This window comes from Homo sapiens, chromosome 9, assembly GCF_000001405.40.
Source record: "Homo sapiens chromosome 9, GRCh38.p14 Primary Assembly".
Lineage (NCBI taxonomy): Eukaryota > Metazoa > Chordata > Mammalia > Primates > Hominidae > Homo > Homo sapiens.
In genome coordinates, this window is record NC_000009.12 from 37,307,782 (window position 1) to 37,326,995 (window position 19,214).

A 19,214-nucleotide genomic window follows, 5' to 3' on the forward strand; every position below is an offset into this window, starting at 1 on the left:
TAACATGACAATTATTTATTGTAATTCCACCAGCAAATTTATACTTAAATTGTTACCCATTTTTTAAACAAACAGTGGTGCATTTAATAATGTTTTGGTAAGTCATATTTTATAAATGGAATTGTGAAATTAAAAGACGTACACTTATGTCTGGATAAGTATTGTCAAATTGCTCTTCTAAAAGATTGTACCAATGTATCTACCTACCAGCAGTGTTAAGAGAAATGAGCACTGCACTCATCAACATTAAGTATTATCAGTCTTTAAAATTTTTGGCTGGTCAGACCAAAAAATGATATTTTATTGTTTTAATTTGTATTTCTTTGGTTATTAATAAAGTGGTATATGGTTAATTAATTTGAATACTCTATTCTCAAGGCTATATAGATAGAAGTTGTCATTTCATTCCAAAGTACTTTAGTCTTATTTTTTAGTGTTTACCAAGTCTTAAAAATGATAAATCCTGAATTGTCCTAGCATTATGTTGTTGTCTGCATTAAGTTGTCAATTATAATTTTCTTAGCAAGATTTTCTAGTTTGGCAGTTATCTTTAATAGCATCTGTTTTTTTTTTACTGTTTTCTTCCAAAGAGCTCTGACAAATATGGTCTTATTTGCCTGTGATAAAGAAGGGGAGTAAGACATTATCATAGGCAATTTTTTAAAAACAAGAAACTGTACTACAGAACAGTTAAAAATTACTTGTAAAAGGTTATATAATCATCTGTGTTAATTCTATAGGCCATTCCTCTTAACTTCTTGATTTTGGCCTCTAATATATGTTAAATTATTATCTAAAATGAGAATTAATAATCCCAATGAATGTAGGTTTTTTTAAATAAGATTAAAATCATGGTATGCTCCTGTAATATCAGCTGCTCAGGAGGCTAATGCAGGAGGATCTCTTAATCCCAGGAGTTTAAAACCTGGTGGCTCACACTTGTAATCCTAGCACTTTGGGAGGCCGAGGCAGGTGGATCACGAGGTCAAGAGATCGAGACCATCCTGGCCAGCATGGTGTGAAACCCAGTCTTTACTAAAAATACAAAAATTAGCTGGGCGTGGTGGTACACACCTGTAGTCCCAGCTACTCAGGAGGCTGAAGCAGGAGAATCGCTTGAACCTGGGAGGCAGAGGTTGCAGTGAGCCAAGATCATGCCACTGCACTCCAGCCTGGCAACAGAGTGAAAGTCTGTATCCAAAAAAAAAAAAAAAAACAGCCTGGGCAACATAGTGAGAGCCTATCTCAAAAAATAAAATAAAATAGGGTTGGGCTGTGACCAGCTTCAGAGAAGGCAGTACTCTTTTCCCCAAATCTACCAGTATCTACTATATTTGTTGTAATTACATGGCGAAGGTTCTGGAAGCTGGTCTTTGTAGCCTACACACCTGGTGTAGGATTCCCTCGCAGCCCAGTCAAGCCTGGGCTCTACTGACTCCTTGTGGCAAGGCTCATAGTCCTTCCACCACCCCAGAAACTTCATGAGAATTCACATGGAAGCCGAGTCATTCTGGCCCCATGTTGTTGGAACTGTACATGCTTTAGGTCTGTCTTGAAACCTGGGCCTCCACAGAAAATTTGTTTCCTCTGCAGCCCTATCAAATGCTTGCTGCTCATCTTCCGTGACCCTGAATCTTAAGAGATGATATCAGCCTCTTTCTCACATGCCATGGCTGCTTTTAAGTCATTACTCAACCCTTTTTATGTAAATACCTTTGGCTTATTTAAGGCTTATACCCTCTAGCAATACTATCCTCTACCATTCTTTGTCATTTTCATCTTCCCACCTACTGGACTTTCTGCTCATTCACAGAGGATTTCTAACCTTTTATAAATTGACGATATTGAGAAACTTCCAAGGCTGGGCGTGGTGGCTCATGCCTGTTACCCAGCACTTTGGGAGGCCGAGGTAGGCAGATCACTTGAGGCCACAAGTTTGAGGCCAGCCTGGCCAACACAGCAAAACCCCATCCCTACTAAAAGTACAAAAGTTAGCTGAGTGTGGTGGTGCACACCTGTAATTCCAACTACTGGGAAGGCTGAGGCATGAGAATTGCTAGAACCCAGGACGCAGAGGTTTCAGTGAGCCGAGATTGCACCACTGAACTCCAGCCTGGGCAACAGAGTGAGACTGTTTCCAAAAAAAAAAAAAAAAATGAAAGAAACTTGCCCTTTTACTTTATATATTCCCATAGTCACACACCTAGACCTCTGTTTGGCCAGATTACCAGATATATGTATGCAAAGAGAATTTGTAGTGAAAACTGTCGAGTCATATTCAAATCCTTTCTGTAATGAAAAGCTTTTTCCTAAAATCTGTTGGAAATTGCTCATTGGTTAACTACTTCTGTAAAAGTATTTGGTTGAAATTCCAGAGTTTTATGAGGTGAAGGATAAAAAGATGGCTCAAGGCCTACTAAAGTCAACCTGCATCATTAGTCCCTTTCAGAAGACAAGAACCTGGATTATGGAAAGAATCCTGTTTCTGAATCTGCTATAGTTTCTCTCCTCACTTGCCAACAATTTTTAAATATACAGAGAATTTTTAAATGTCTGTATACCTTTAGCTTGCACACAGAAACCTATTCTGTGAGCTATCTCTGACATTTCCAAGATAACAACAGCCATACATAATTGTGTGTTTACTGTGCTGGAGGAGTGCTTCATTCACCACTATGCCCTTAGCATATAGTAGGTGTTCAGTAGATTTAATCCTCATAAGCAGGATATGAAGTGTAGGTACTATTTATTACTCCTATTTTACAAACTGAAAACTGAGACATTACAAGGTTAATAAGTCTAAGGTCTAAAAGCTAAAATGATGCTATACTTTATGACTATGTGGAGAAAGCTTACATATTGGCAATCAAGGAATCATCAGTTTATCTCCTACTCGGAGGATCTCTCAACTTTCTTTCTTAAATATGCAGATATTATAGCTCTAATAAGCAACTTTAATATAACACTCATGACATTGGGGCAACATAGTGAGACTCCCACTCTTTACCAAAAAAAAAATTTAAAAATTAGCCAGGCAGGGTGGCACGCACCTGTAGTCCCAGCTACTCGGGAGGCTGAGATGGGAGGATTGCTTGAGCCCAGGAGATCAAGGCTGCAGTGAGCTGTGATCACATCACTGCACTCCAGCCTGGGTGACAGTGTAAGACTCTCTCTTTTTAAAAAAAAAAAAAAAAAAAAATCAATATATTATAAAACACATAAAGAAAAATATTTTCCAAACAAAAATAAATTTTACCTTAGGTTGTCAGCACTTTAAAAAACCCCTGGGGATCAAGAAAGCAGTATAGAATGTTGATTTTCAGATACAGAGCCAATTCTGTGATACCATAGAGCTTTACTGCTCACAAGAGACCATTGCAGCTTCAGCAATCTTTATTAATTGTTCAGATTGCCATCCTTTTTTATTAAAGCATAATGACTGAGTTAGTCAGTGTCAGATATAATCAAAACCCAAACCTCCTAAATTTCCTACCTTTATTCAGCAATTTTTTTCTCAAATTCCCTGCTCAGTGTGTTATCCCAGTCCATGCTAAATAACTGTTAAAGTCTGATTTTTTAATACAGTGGGAGAAAATAATTCATAGAACATATTTCACTTGATTCCTTTATTTATTTATTTTTATTTTTATCTTTGAAACAGAGTCTCACTCTGCCGCCCAGGGTGCAGAGGTGTGATCTCGGCTCACTGCAACCTCTGCCTCCCAGATTCGAGCAATTCTGCCTCAGCCTCCCAAGTAGCTGGGATTACAGGCATGAGCCACAACACCTGGCCAATTTTTGTATTTTTAGTAGAGGTGTGGTTTCACTATGTTGGCCAGGCTGATGTCGAACTCCTGACCTCAGGTGATCTGCCCGCCTTGGCCTCCCAAAGCGCTGGGGTTAACAGGCGTGAGCTACTGCGCCCGGCCTTTTTACTTTTTTGATGCTAGAAAAATGCTCCCATATCAGCCATATACTACAATATTTTTCACAGTGCAAAAGTTTATTTTAAGGAGAACTCAGTTTAAACTGTGTAGTATTTAACATACACGTGAGTGCTCAATGATGTTTCTTCAATAAATATATATGTAAAATTGAAAACTAATGTCTTTTATTTAGATTTTTATTAAACTTGGAGATTTCCAGCAGGAAATACAAAGCATCTAGTACAAATCATTTCATACTTGTCAAATCCAGAATGGAGAGTTACTAGAGCATTATTTTTGTAAAGGTAATTATTTAAGAAACAGGTATTTATTTTATTTTTAGTGTACTCCAAGGAGCACTGAGTAGTATTCATATGATTTCCTCCCCTTATCCTTTCCACAGTCTTACTCAGATATGACTGGCCAGAAATAAGAATGGCTGAAACATATTATTGTGCTGAATAACTAAGCCAAGATTTGAATTTAAAGACTTGCTTAATTCACATATTTTGTGTAATGGCGGTTCTACCTTTATTCAAAAACATCTCCAGTGTTCTACCACCCAAATAAACTTTCTACATTTGTTCATTTAGCAAAAATTTGCTGGTTGCCTCTTATATGCCAGACAGTATTCCAAGTACTAGGGGAAAAAAAGATGAATAAAACATGATCCCTGCCCTTGAGGAACTCAGAGTATAATAGGAAAGGTGGGTGTGTTAAGAACAGTGTAAAGTGTAATGTGAAAGTACATCAGGGTGGTGATAAATAAAAGAGTCTTAGAAGACTCTAAACTTAGTGACTTGCAGATGATGCATACCTAGAAAATGTAGAAAGTGTGACGTAGACCTAAGAAGGGAGCCAAGTAACTGTGTCTTTTTATTTTGACATGATTATAGATTCACATGCAGTTTTAAGAAATAATATAGAGGGCTGGGCGCAGTGGCTCATGCCAGTAACCACAACCCAGCCCTTTGGGAGGCCAAATCTGGAGGACTGCCTGAGGCCAGGAGTTAGAGACCAGCCTATGCAATATAGTGAGACCCTATATCTACAAAAAACATTTTTTTAAGAAATGATAAAATTAAGATTCAGATAGCAAATAATCATGAACAAGCTAATTTCCCTGCTCAACTTATTTGAAGAGAAACCACTGATATATTCAAATCTACTTAATGAAAATGAGAATGCATAAATAAGAATAAATAATTAAAATTAAAATGCCGCCTCCCCAACAAAGTAACTTAGATGTGTAAAATCACGATGTGAGGAAGGAATGAAGGGGAAAAGAAAAACTCATCTCTGAAAAAACTAAAACACTAGAATTATATTATCGTGATAGATTGGTATGTACTTTCAGATAAATATGTAGTTCTGCTGACAGTGTGCATTACACCTACCTTTGGAAATAGGAAAATCAGACTTTGGTTAGATATATGTACTTTGTTCCACCCACTTTTCTCAACATTTTAATGTTATTTATAGGTAATATTGGAGCAAGAGGGCAGGCTGCAATTGATTGATTGTCTTACAAAATTGTTGTATAGGCTTACCAAATGTTTATTTAACTGAGAGATCAGACTACTTCAAGAAAGTTAAGTTGATTTCTATACTTGAAGGTCTCCTCCTGTCTTCTTGATGTACACAAAACTCACGATAATGTTAGTGAAAATCGCATACATGTTCATTGTTCAGGGAGTAAATCCCAAAATCAGGAATTAATAATTTATTGGAACTGTTACCAAGCCACCTAATAAATGAATATCTGAAATTTTCATGGTTGCAAATGTATGTGACCTTATGTAAATAATTATGTTCTACATTTTAAACTTGAAGGCATATGGTACAGTTTGGTTCAATGTCCCCACTCAAATCTCAAGTCGAATTGTAATTCCCAATGTTGAGGGAGGGACCTGGTAGGAGGTGATTGGATCATGGGGGCAGATTTCCCCCATGCTGTTCTTGCAATAGTAAGTTCTCATGAGATTTGATGGTTTAAAAGTGTATGGCACCCTGCCCCTCATTTGCTCTCTTTCTCTCCTGCCAACGTGAAGGTGCTTGCTTCCCCTTCAACCTCCACCATGATTGTAAGTGTCCTGAGGCCTCCTCAGCCATGCTTCCTGTTAAGCCTGTGGAACTTGAGTCAGTTAAACCTCTTTTCTTCATAAATTACCCCAGTGTCAGGTAATTCTTTATAATAATGTCAAAATGGACTAATACAGTGTATAACTTAGCACATTTAAAGTTTGAAGGAGAAACCAGTTCTTATTTTAAATTGTACTAAATGGTTTCCTTTCTAGTCATTTCTAAGTAACCTGAAAATTCCTCCAATCTTTTCAACTCTCCGTATAGTACATACCTCCTTGTCTAGTATTAGTCACTTTGAGTGGACTTAGCAGCTTACTAGCAAGCTTATCTTGTCTTTATAGAAAATGTAAGAATAAATGTGTAGAAGATAGAGATAATTCCCATTCTGCAGACCCTTACCTTTCATCAAAGGAAGGGAAATATTGTCTACTTCTAGCCTGCCTTTATAAACTTTATAAGCTCTCAACATTAAAGGATAAATAAACTTTAGTTTTTCACTGAGAATCTTATGGCACTGAGGAATGGACTGACTTACTCTTCAGTCCAATCACATTTGGGAAGACACAGGTCTCTGATGTATAAAGCAGAAGGCCACTAAGAATTTTATTAAATTTCAAACTTATTATATGCCACCCCTTTTTAAAACTAAATCCAGGTATAAAAGTCCATCATGTAGACTTGAATTTTACTATTAAATCCACTAATACGAACAAATTCTGGGACATAATTATCTGAGTTATGAATTGAGAGTGAAAATAAGATCCTCATTAACAACTCTAAGGCTAAAAGATTCACCAAATCTTACAGAATAAGGTCAGTGCTGCTGACCTTTATAGATCCCTGGATGTGGTGGGAGTTGCCTATAGTCCTAGTACGTGGGAGGATGAAGCAGGAAGATCACTTGAGCAAAGGAGTTCAAGTCCAACCTGGGCAACATAGCAAGACCCGATCTCTTTTAAAAAAAAAAAAAAAAAAAAGTATACATTCCAGACAGCTTTCTGATTGGGTTTTGAAAATCTCCCTCAAATTACACAGCAGTGAAGCAATGTACACAACTGGGAAAGCTTTTTAACCTCTAAAACTATTCAAAGACTTACTTATAGGGATCTGTTTGCCAGCATACTAATCAATTCTGTGTATGATTTTGTTGTACTAATCAATCCTAGGTATGATCTGGTCGAACCCAATATGCAGTTATTCATCTTGAAAAAACAGCTGTTTTCTTCAGTTGTCTACTAGTTAAAATAATTAGGCATGCCATCTAAAAGGTACACACAGTTCGTCTTGAAAACTTACAAATGCCTGTAGAATGATTATATTTCAGTTAAAAAAAAAAAAAGAAAATGAGCTCTGCATAATCTACATGTATATGCTTGTGTGTGTATATATATACATATATAAACAATGATAAATGGGATAAAGTATACATACCAGGCTCTTAACATTGCTTTTCCTCATCAGACTGGGATTGGGTTAGAAAAGAGGGCTGAGAAACACAATTAGCTTGCCTTTATTTGTATTTTTATTGTATTGTTTCATTTGTTTTAAAAAGAGAGTAAGATAATTATGCAGGATTTCAGTTTAATAGTAAGCGTGATCTTCGTTTGTTGTAAGGCATTCTACTAATTGTTGACTTGATAAAAAAAATCATAAGCAATACTAAACTACTTTGAGAAGTTCAAGACACTCAAGCAAATTATATAATAATAAATATTATGAGCTAATCAGCCTTTTAGTTATAGAACATAAAAATAATTCTCTCTGTAATCATGGATATTACCAGAAAAATATACATCCTAAGAACACTAATCATTACGGTGAGGTAGTTTCAGATATAAAGGAAGACATGGCTCAATTTTTAAATTATTTCATCAGTGTTATCTAAACTTTTACTTTTTTAAGCCCATTATATTTTAGACAGGAACCAGTTCTAATGTAGCAGGAAAAAATTCTAAAGTAAGCTACAGGGTCTCAATATTAAACCTTTCTCTCTCACCCTGTCATCCCTGGTTTAGGGATGCTTATATAGAACTTTTACCTATAGGTAAATGCAAAGGAAAGGTAAAAGTTCTATATAAGCATCCCTAAACCAGGGAAGGTAGTAGTGGGTAGCAAGGGTGATGAACTGGTTCCTGTCTAAAATATAATGGACTTAAAAAAGTAAAAGTTTAGAATAACACTGGATGAAATAATTTAAAAATTGAGCCACGTCTTCCTCAGTCTCAAAAAAAAAAAAAGGGTTCCTTTTTGTTTGTTTGTTTTTTGTTTTTGAGACAGAGTCTCACTCTGTTGCCAGACTGGAGTGCAGTGGCGCTGGAGTGCAGTGGCGCAATCTTGGCTCACTGCAACTTCCACCTCCTGGGTTCAAGTGATTCTCCTGCCTCAGCCTCCCAAGTACCTGGGACTACAGGCACGCACTACAATGCCCAGCTGCTTTTTGTATTTTTAATACAGATGGGGTTTCGCCATGTTGTCCAGGCTGGTCTCGAACTCCTAACCTCAAGTGATCTGCCCACCTCAGCCTCCCAAAGCGCTGGGATTACAGGCATGAGCCAATGTGTCTAGCCAAGAATCTTATTCTTATAAGAATCTGGCACAATGAAAGGGTCTTTTAATGGTATAAATAACAATATCCAGTGATTTAAAACAACTCTTCATAGTACCTGGGACTACAGGCACGCACTACCCTGCCCAGCTGCTTTTTCTATTTTTAGTACAGATGGGGTTTCGCCATGTTGTCCAGGCTGGTCTCGAACTCCTAACCTCGAGTGATCTGCCCGTCTCAGCGTCCCAAAGTGCTGGGATTACAGGCATGAGCCAATGTGTCCAGCCAAGAACCTTATTCTTATAAGAATTTGGCACAATGGAAGGGTCTTTTAATGGTATAGATAACAATGTCCAGTGATTTAAAACAGCTCTTCACAGGTCTCTGTAATTGTAACTCTTTCCCTGTTCTTAACAAACCAAAACTTGATGGTCTCTCAAGTTTTCCATAAATGAGTTGATCAGAGACCTATGCAGTGCTTGGCAAATACCACCTGAGCTGCCAGTACTGGTGGGATTTCACATAAGCCTCTTTTTTTTTTTTTTTAATATACCAATAGAAAAAAAATTGCAGGCATATATAAAGAATTGGTAGATCAAAAAAAATAATAATAATCAGAGATGTCTCCAAATGAAATGAATTGTTTGTAGAAAATAGGAAACTTGGGAAAATCCTAACTCTTTCTTCACAGATAATGTGAATAGAGAAGACAGACGAAAAGCACTGCTGAGCAAAATGATGAAGAAAATTATGGACAAAATAGTTCACACTCAATTTGAGTGAGAAAAAGACCCATAGTGAAATTTCTGAATGTCAAACAAAAATTATACTAATATCCAGAGAGAAAAACACACAAATCAGATTCACATCAGACTTCTCCTGTATAGTACTAAATGCTGAAAAGTAATGGAGAAATCTCTAAAGCCTAGAAGATTCTGAGGAAAAAAGATGATACAATCTGTTGCTCATTTGTGAATTTAAGGGAAAAGTCAGAGAAAAAAATTAGCAACAATGAACAGTGAAAGCAAGAAAGCCTGGAATATGTGTCTGAATACTTCTTGATAATCTGTTTTTTAACTTAATATAAGTATTTCCTGGGTGCAGTGGCACCTGCCTGTAGTTGCAGCTACTCAGGAGGCTGAGGCAGCAGAATTGCTTGAGGTCAGGAGTTCAAGACCAGCCCAGGCAACATGGTGAGAGTTCATCTCAAAAAAAGACAGAAAAATATAAATAGAGCAAATTTTATTTTTTAAATTATAGTAATGTGGTTTATAGGTAATTTCAGTAAAATAAAAGGTTATTTGTTTCAATAATCAGAAGAAAAGTAAGACAAAGGAAACTCACGTAGTATAACATTATGGGAGAAAATGGGAGCAAGAAAGTATAAAAAACAAAAAGCATAAAGAATGAGAAAAATCAGACCAAATACATCAATTATAACAATAAACATTTTCATAGTAGATTAAACACTCTTATAGATTTAACTGCCTCCCCCACTCCCCCCGACCCCCCCCAAAAAAGCCTGTTTATCCAAAGAGACCTTTAACAAAAGTAATTGGCAGACCATGGTTTGGGAAAGATTTTTGTAATATGTATGATGGCACAATTATCTGTAATATATAAAAAGCTCTTACAAATCAATATAAAGAAAGGAAAATAATAATACCCAATGTTAGGGAAGCTGTACTATTAAAGTACATTTGGATGGGCTTTCTGGAATTCAGTGATGTATAGTTGCAAAGATATAGCTATAAGAATGTTTATATCAAAGTTGTTAATAATAATGAATACTAGATGCAACCCAAATATTTGACGATGAGGATGACTTGCCTTACAATATAGTCATATAATGGGATTTATTCAGCCGTTTCGAAAATGATATAAAAGGCCGGGCGCAGTGGATCACCTGAGGTCAAGAGTTCGAGATCAGCCTGGACAACATGGTGAAACCCCATCTGTACTAAAAATACAAAAATTAGCTGGGCATGGTGGTGGGCTCTGTAATCCCAACTACTTGGGAGGCTGAGGCAGGAGAATCGCTTGAAACTGGGAGGCAGAGGTTGCAGTGAGCCGCGATTGCACCATTGCACTCTAGCCTGGACAAGAAGAACGAAACTCCATCTCAAAAAATATATATATTTTATATATATAAATGATATTGAAATATAAATAAGTTGCTAGTACATTAAGTAAAACACACAGATTACAAAACAGTATGTGAAGTATAATTAGACTTCTATATATATGTGTGTGTTTCTATATATGTAGATTTGCATAGAAAAAAGTTTGAGTGGGCCCTGTGTGGTGGCTCACACCTGTAATCCCAGCACTTTGGGAGGCCGAGGCGGGCAGATCACTTAAGGTCAGAAGTTCAAGACCAGCCTGGCCAACATGTTGAAACCCTGTCTCTCCTAAAAATACAAAAATTAGCCAGGCGTGGCAGCGCACACCTATAATCCCTCCTACTTGGGAGGCTGAGGCAGGAGAATCTGAAGTGGGAGAATCACAAGTCAGAGAATCACTTGAACCCAGGAGGTGGAGGTTGCAGTGAGCCAAGATCGCATCACTGCACTCCAGCCTGGGCAACAGAGTGAGACTCTGTCTCAAAAAAAAAAAAAAAAAAGAGTAAAATATTCCAAAATATTTGCTCTTGTTATGTCAGGAATTATAGATGTTTTATCATTTTTTGCTTTTTATTTCTATTGATCTTTATTTGCGAGTTCTATATTAGTCATTCTAATAGATGTATACTGTCTATCTTATTGTAGTTTTAGTTTGCATTTTCTAATGGCTAATAATGTTGAATATCCTTTCATGCACGCACTTATCATCCTTATTTCTTTGGTGAAATATTAACATCCCTTCCTAATTTTTAATGAGTGTTAATTTTCTTCTTATTGGCTGTTGATAGTTCTGTCTGTATTTTGGATATAAGTCTTCAGTTGGGTATGTGATTTCAAAATATTTTTTTCTAGTCCATAGTTTGTCTTCTTATTTTCTTGACGGTTCTCAGGCAGAGCAGAAGTTTTTAAATTTAATGAAGTCCAACTTATAAATTTGAACTCTTTACCCAACCCCAGATCACACAGTTTTTTGTTTTTGTTTTTTGAGACAGGGTCTTACTCTGTCCCCCAGGCTGGAGTGTAGTGGTGCAATCTCGGCTCACTGCAACCTCCACCTCCCAGGCTCAAGTGATCCTACCACCTCAGCCTCCTGAGTTGTTGGGACGACAGGCACGTGGCACCATGCTCGTCTGACTTTTGTTTTTTGTAGAAATGAGGTTTCATTTTGTTGCCCAGGCTGGTCTTGAACTCCTGGACTCAAGCGATCTGCCTACCTTGGCCTCAAGTGCTGGTATTACAGGCATGAGCCACCATGGCCAGCCAGAAGATTTTCTCCTGTGTATTCTTTCAGATGTTTCTACTTTTATATTTAGATCTGTTATCTATTTTGAGTTAAACTTTGTATAATGTGAGGTTTAGATCAAGGTTCATTTTGTTTTCTTTACATATGGTTGACCAATTGTTCTAACACCATTTGTCGAAAAGACTTTCCATTCTCAACTGAATTGATTTTGCATCTTTGTCAAAGGTCAATTGGCCATATTTACATGGATTGATTCCTGTGCTCTATTTTGTTGCACTGATGTATGTATATGTCTTGTTGCCAATGCCATATGGTCTTGATTACTATAGTTTTATAGTAAGTCTTAAAATACATAGTGAGATTTCTTAAACTTTTGCTTTTGTTTTGTTTTTGAGACCAAGTCTCACTCTGTTGCCCAGGCTAGAGTGCAGTGGCACTGTGTTGGCTCACTGCAACCTCCGTCTCCTGGGTTCAAGCAATTCTCCTGTCTCAGCCTCCTGAGTAGCTGGGATTACAGGCGCCTACCACCACACTCAGCTTATTTTTATATTTTTAGTAGAGACAGGGTTTCACCATGTTGGCCAGGCTGGTCTCGAACTCCTAACCTCAGGTGATCCGCCAACCTTGGCCTCCCAAAGTGCTGGAATTAGAGGCATGAGCCACCGCACCTGGCCAACTTCGGTTATTTTTTACAAAATAACTTTTGCTGTTCTAATTCCTTTCCCCCTTCATGTAAATTCTAGAATCACCTTGTCTGTACTTACAATAATTTCTGATAGGATTTTGATTACAGTTGTGTTCCAGTCTATAGACTACTGTAGGGAGAGTTGACTCCACTGTATTGAGTCTTCCAATCCATGAATATGGTATGTCTCTGTTTATCTAGAACTCCTTTAGCCTCCATTATCAGATTTTTGTAGTTTTAACTATACATGTTCTCTACATAGTTAGATTTATGTGTATTTAAGTTGTAAGTATTTTGCCTCTCTTGGAATTATAAAAAAAGGTATTGTCTTACTACAACATCAGACCTAAGGATGATTATTTGTGTATCTGACATAAGCTGGATGCTATCAACATCTTGGGAGAAGAGGAAAAGATAATTTCCCCAAGAGCATTCCATGAGATTTAGAACTGGATGACAGGGCATGATTGTACATAGAAGGAGTTTAATGTAGTTAACTAAGGTGAATTAGGATTGGATTTGGTGGTTTTAAACAATTTGCTCTATTAAGTATTTGTTATTTATGATGGAGTTTATATAATTGGGTTTTTTCTTTTTTCTTTTTTTTTTTTTTTTTTTGAGATGGAATCTCACTCTGTTGCCCAGGCTGGAGTGCAGTGGCGTAATCTCGGCTCACTGCAACTTCCGCCTCCTGGGTTCAAGCGATTCTCCTGCCTCAGCCTCCCAAGTAGCTGGGACTACAGGCGCGTGCCACCACACCCGGCTAATTTTTTGTATTTTTAGTAGATATGGGGTTTCATCGTGTTAGCCAGGATGGTCTTGATCTCCTGACCTCGTGATCCACCCACCTCGGCCTCCCAAAGTGCTGGGATTACAGGCATGAGCCACCACTCCCGGCCACCTTTTTTTCTTTTTCCTTTTAAGTAGAGGTGGGGTCTCGCTGTTACCCACACTGGTCTCAAACTCCTGGCCTGAAGTGATCCTCCCACCTCAGTCTCCCAAAGTGCTGGGATTACAGAAATAAACCACTGTTCCTGGCCTATAATTGGTTTATAAGTAAAGTTCTAAACTTTCACTTTAAAATTATCTTACCAGGTTGGGTGCCAAGGCTTATTCCTATAATTTCAGCCTTTGGGAGGCCAAGGTGAAAAGATCGCCTGGGGCCAGGAGTTTGAGACCAGCCTAGGCACCATAGTGAGACTCCATCTCTACAAAAAAATGAAAAATTAGCCAAGCACTGTGGTCCATGCCTGTAGTCCTAACTACTCTGGAGGCTGAGGTCAGAGAATCCTGCTTGAGCCCAGGAGATCAGGGCTGCAGGGAGCTATGATTACACCACTGCATTCTAGCCTGGGCAACAGAGTAAGACTCTGTCTCTAAATAAATAAATAAAAATAAAATAAAATAAAGTGAAACTAATTTACCTTTAGTTTACCTCTTTTGAGTCTAGTTTAAAACTTCTGGTTCCTGCTAGTATACTTAAAGAAACAGTATAGTATAGAACCTTTGCAGACTTAGTTTACAATTTTCTCAGGATGTCAGCGCTCAGATTTCATTATTCCAATACCAAAGGGACAATGAAATCACTCATGGCAGTTGTAATGGAGGGATGCCATCAACATTAGTTTTTATTTTTGTTTTTCAGGGGATTTTTTTGTTTTTTAAGAAATGGGATATCTGAGTGAGCTGAAAGTTATGAAGACAGGAACTCAGAAAGAGTTAAGGTACTAGAAAGCAGGAAGTAAGACCTCTCTTCCATCCATCGTGCACATGGACTATGTATTCACTACCAAACCAGTTAGATGGTTCCCAGAATTATAGGGATCTACATCTACATGTTCTTCCTGGTTTCCACTTACCCAGCCCTCAGGTCTGGTTTGAAGGTAATGAATTATCTCACTTGGTTGTTAACAGTCAGTTGCAGATCGAACTCCTTGTTCTACTGCTTCCCCCCTTCTCACTACTACACTTGACTAATCTTAAAACCCCCCCAAAAGAGGAGGAAAGGCTAGTAAGGAAGCTGGGGCCATTAAACAATGTTTAAGCATAGAAAAAAGGAATACATAAGTTTGAGTTGAATTAAAGAAAGTTGTCTTAACTTTCAGAATAGTGTACTTTTCTTTTTCATCAATGACCAAGGTATTTTAAGATTTTTGTATTCCAGAATTTTAATATAAAATACAACATCAGGATTATCTGATCCAGTATTTTTTTTTAACAACTAAAAACATCGAGTAGACTTCGGCTGAATGTAAAAATAGGTACATTGCACATACTAGATGCTTATTGATGTTTCTGAATTTTTTTAAGAAGGTGGCCACAAACAGCTGTAGTCTAATAAAATCTGTATTTTATTCATTTTGTTCATTGTTTTATTTTTTCCTCTATTATGTCTTTATCAACAGGTCACCTAAACTGAGTTTCTTCTAGGTTTGGGCACATCCAAGAGTTGACCTTGGTACAGTAGATTCATTTATTTCAGCTACTTTATTGATGCCAATATTTCCATTATTTATTTCTGCATCAGCAGTATGGGGAGTGCCAAATTGATGTTGTCATAACAATAGTTAATACAGTGGAGCACTTGCTATATGTCAGGCATTGCTCTAAAGACTTTATACTTATCAACCCCTTAAATATCACAACAATCCTTTGAGGAGGTACTGTTAGCCCCGTTTTACCTATGAGGAAACTGAGACACAGAGATATATAACTTGCCCAAAATAGTAAATAGCTGGATTAGAATCCAGCCATTTTTGCTCTGGATTTTCTGATTTTAGCTGCTACATTATCATGCTACATTTTACTAGCTCTTACAAGGTTTTACTTTACATTACCTTAGGTCATCAGTCAGCAGATTTACTACAAATATTAGCAACTATTTGTGAAATTAACCTTGAAATGTAATCTACTGATAAACTTTGTGCCTTCATAACTGTACTTAAGTTAGGAGGAGAATATCAAAGAGAAAAATCTTTGAGCCAGAAATTAAGCTTGTCAGTTTCCCTGATTACAGAGGATTAAAAGTATAGGAATTGATTAAAATTTGACCTTGGGTGGAAAGATGATTTTATGAAGTCTGGTTCATCTTGGAGGCAGCTTAGAGTTAAAGACCAATGCATGGCTTTCCATACCGATTGGTTAAAAAAATTATGTAGATTTTATACACATTGCCACTTACATCTTGTATGTTTGTAGCTCCTCTTTATCAAGAATGGCAAATTTTCATGCAGAATAGAAGTATAATAAGCATTATTAAGACAGTAACTTGTCTTGAATCTTAATTGTATATTTCTATGATTTCAGACCTCAGAGCAGTCTTTATGTGGAATTTTGATTGACGGCAAATGCTAGGATGTTCTTTTCAAAATTTTCCTTCTAGGAGAAATTATATTTCACGTATACTCAAAGTATATGTACAATAGGATACAAAAATATTTTGTGTAGCTGAGGAATAGTGTATATGCCAGTGATTACCAAAGTATCGGGACAATCAGATGACTTGGTAGCTATAAGTCTATGAAGAGCCTGGTCTTGAGGCTTCAGAGTAGGGGCGTTCTTTTTAATAAAGGCACCTAAACTTATATTTGTGTGCATATGGAACAGTTAAGATGGTGGTTGAGTCCAGAGACTAGAATGGTTTTCTTGCCATGTGTTTTCATTCAACAATTTTTAAACTGAATTATTCTCTTTATTCTTTATTTATGTTATTCACTATCAATGAATATTGTTTGTTTTATTAAATCTTTTGTTTTGCTGTAGTGACTTGAGGGGGCCATCTCCTAACAACAGAGGCTTTGACAAAGCACCAGAGGATTCTGTTAAAAAGTTGTGTTTCGTAATTGTAGTTGTCGTGTCAGAGCCTAACTGACTTGGAGCTGAAGGATTTTTGTGAGATGAGTAGCTGTGCCAGCAGGGACCCAAGTCTCCTGGGCTGGCCGCGCTCTCATTAAGATTTGCCGCTAGCAGTGGCGGTGTTCAGCATGTATGTGACGTGCATTCTGTTATTGTATGCTTGGCTTGTCAGCCTGCAGCTTTCTGACACTCACTTATGTCACTCTTTATTCAGAGAGGAAGAAGCTTTTGATAATTTGACAAGACAAGCTCTTAAACGATCTAGGTCATGGCCTTCACTGTCTGTGATTGTGAACATATTTCCTGAAAGCCCTGTCACTCATCACAGCTACATTTTCTCCCGGGGAGCCACAGGCCTGTCCTGGTCTCTTGTCAGCTCATACATTTTGGTTATTCATATACCAAATACAGTATTGGGGGTTTTTTTCTTCCCTTTTGCAAATGCTAGCATGTTAGTAAGGCTAATCCTTTCTCCTGTGCTGTGTTCCCAGCAGGGCTGCGTTCAAGGGCTCTCTCTAGTACAAGGCAGACAACTGGCCAAGGGGAGCTGAGGAGGAGGAAAGGCCGCTTAGTGCTGTTTTTGTGTTTGTTCATTGTTGTGGAAATATGAGAACTGGTGGCAAGGGCCTTGTCTATTGAGCACTTGAGTCTTGGTCTGCTGTCAGGGGCTGTTTAAGATTGAGTGTTTTATTTTCTTTGATGTTCACATTTGAGAATAGGGAAGTGGGAATTAAACAACAGATGCACTAAGCCGTTGTTCTCGTAAAACAATAATTAGCACCTGATAAAATTCAATATGGGTCAAAATGCACAATATAAACTCTCAATTCATCTGGTGTGGCAAACTGTGTTGATTCATCTTTGAATTTTATGAATAATAACACTGATTTATGTATGGTTTATTATACAAAATACAATAGACGGGAAAACTAGTTGGGCAGAAGTTGGCAAACAATGTAGCACATTGCTAAAACAGATGTACAAGTACACTTTGTATGTTTTCAGTTGTGTGATTTGAGGAGGCCCTTTGGGTTGCCATCCATCTAAGTACCAGTAAGGTGAGATCACCAGGGTAACCAATAAATGCAATTGTATTTTCATAGTTTGTTGAATTTGCATCTTAGATGAGTTCCACAGCTGACTAGTAATTCATTTTAAGTATTTTTTTAATTAGACCAAAGTTAGTTGTAATAGTAGGCTTCTTGCTTTAGAAATTACTTTATTTTATGCAATAGGTATATAATTTTCCATGCAATAGATACATACATTTGGGTGCCATGGCATTCTATTTGATAAGAAGAAAAATACGTGCAACGACTAGGGAATGGTAAAAAGAAGTTGAAGCCATAATAAGCAAAAAGAAAAATTAGGGTTTTAAAAATTCATTGATGATACATAGATATAAATAAAGATGTGTGCCTTATATTGACACCTAGTTTGAAATGAAAAATATTTGTTTACTTTTTAACCTCAAATATAAATAAGTATTACAAAAAATAGCAAAATGAAACTATGCATGAGAATGTTGAGTAAAAATACTTATGAGACAGTCAAGTAGGAGTTTTTAAAAATTACAATACTATTGTCTAATAAATGAAAAGAAGTTTCATGTCTCTCACTACTAATTTTCTATATTGGGCATCATCTTCATGTACAGAGCAATCAGATGATTGTTCAAAAACCAAGTAATTCTTTCTTTTATTACTAAATTGCTGCAACACAAGAAAAGGTCACATGGTAGAGTGGCATTCTGCCAGTGTATGACAACTCAGTGATTGCGATTTTTCAACCGTATTATTCTGAGGACACTGTGGTAATCAAGAACTATCCATAACTAATGTATAAATAACTGCTTGCTTATTTCTACAATAATCCAACTCAAATTATATATACACAGCAAAAAGCTTATGATAGAAGGTAGGAAATGAATATTTAAGGATATATTGTACATTAGATATTTGTGTGTATACATGTTTATAAAAATAGATATTTCTTGTATATATTCTTAAGAACTTTTGTAACAAAGTTTGTGGCTACATTTGGTAACTAACATGATCTTTGCCTTATGAATCAACCTTTTACTTTTTAAAAATAGTTGTCTTTTCATCAGTGTTGTTCATCCAGAAATGACTGGATATAATAAGTGGGTTTTTTTAGTAAGACACTTTAGTTTCCAGGAATTTGATATTAAAACTGGAAAGCTGACCACTAAACAGTCTTTCCTATAGAAAGCTGTGTAGACTGCTTTCTATAGGAGCAGTCTACACAGCTTTCTATAGGAAATTACACAGGAAAGTTAAAATGCGTAAAGGATAAAATTTTTCAGCATAGATATGTTTCAGCATAGTTGAAACATATCTACTTTTTTGTCTAATCACTTATGGTGGTATAATCAGTAGAGGTATTGGCATTCAAATGTTTCTTAAATTATTATCATAGCCATGATATTTTCAGATTGTATGAATTACCTTTGTTAGTCTTATCAATACTTTGAAAAATAAATGAAAGAGGAATGACAAATCAAGTAAAGAGTTGTTTCAAACTAGGTATCAAAAATTACAAAGATTTCAGAAAGTCTTACTCTAATTTTAGGCATGCATCTATAAACAAAAGCTATAAATTTCCATTCGCTTTTAAGAATCACCATTTCCTTTGCTTGGTGTTTTAATTTATTCCAACCATTTATATAGTTACAAACAACACACTTTTTGCTCCTGAGAAGATGGTAAACTGATCAACTATACATAAGCAG

At 36.7% G+C, this 19,214-nt stretch overlaps 1 protein-coding gene across 19 annotated transcripts in view; it reads left to right on the top strand.

Moving 5' to 3' along the window:
- ZCCHC7 (zinc finger CCHC-type containing 7) overlaps positions 1 to 19,214 on the top strand; it is a 237,983-nt gene that overhangs the window by 187,615 nt on the left and 31,154 nt on the right. The gene's annotated exons all lie outside the window — the stretch shown is intronic.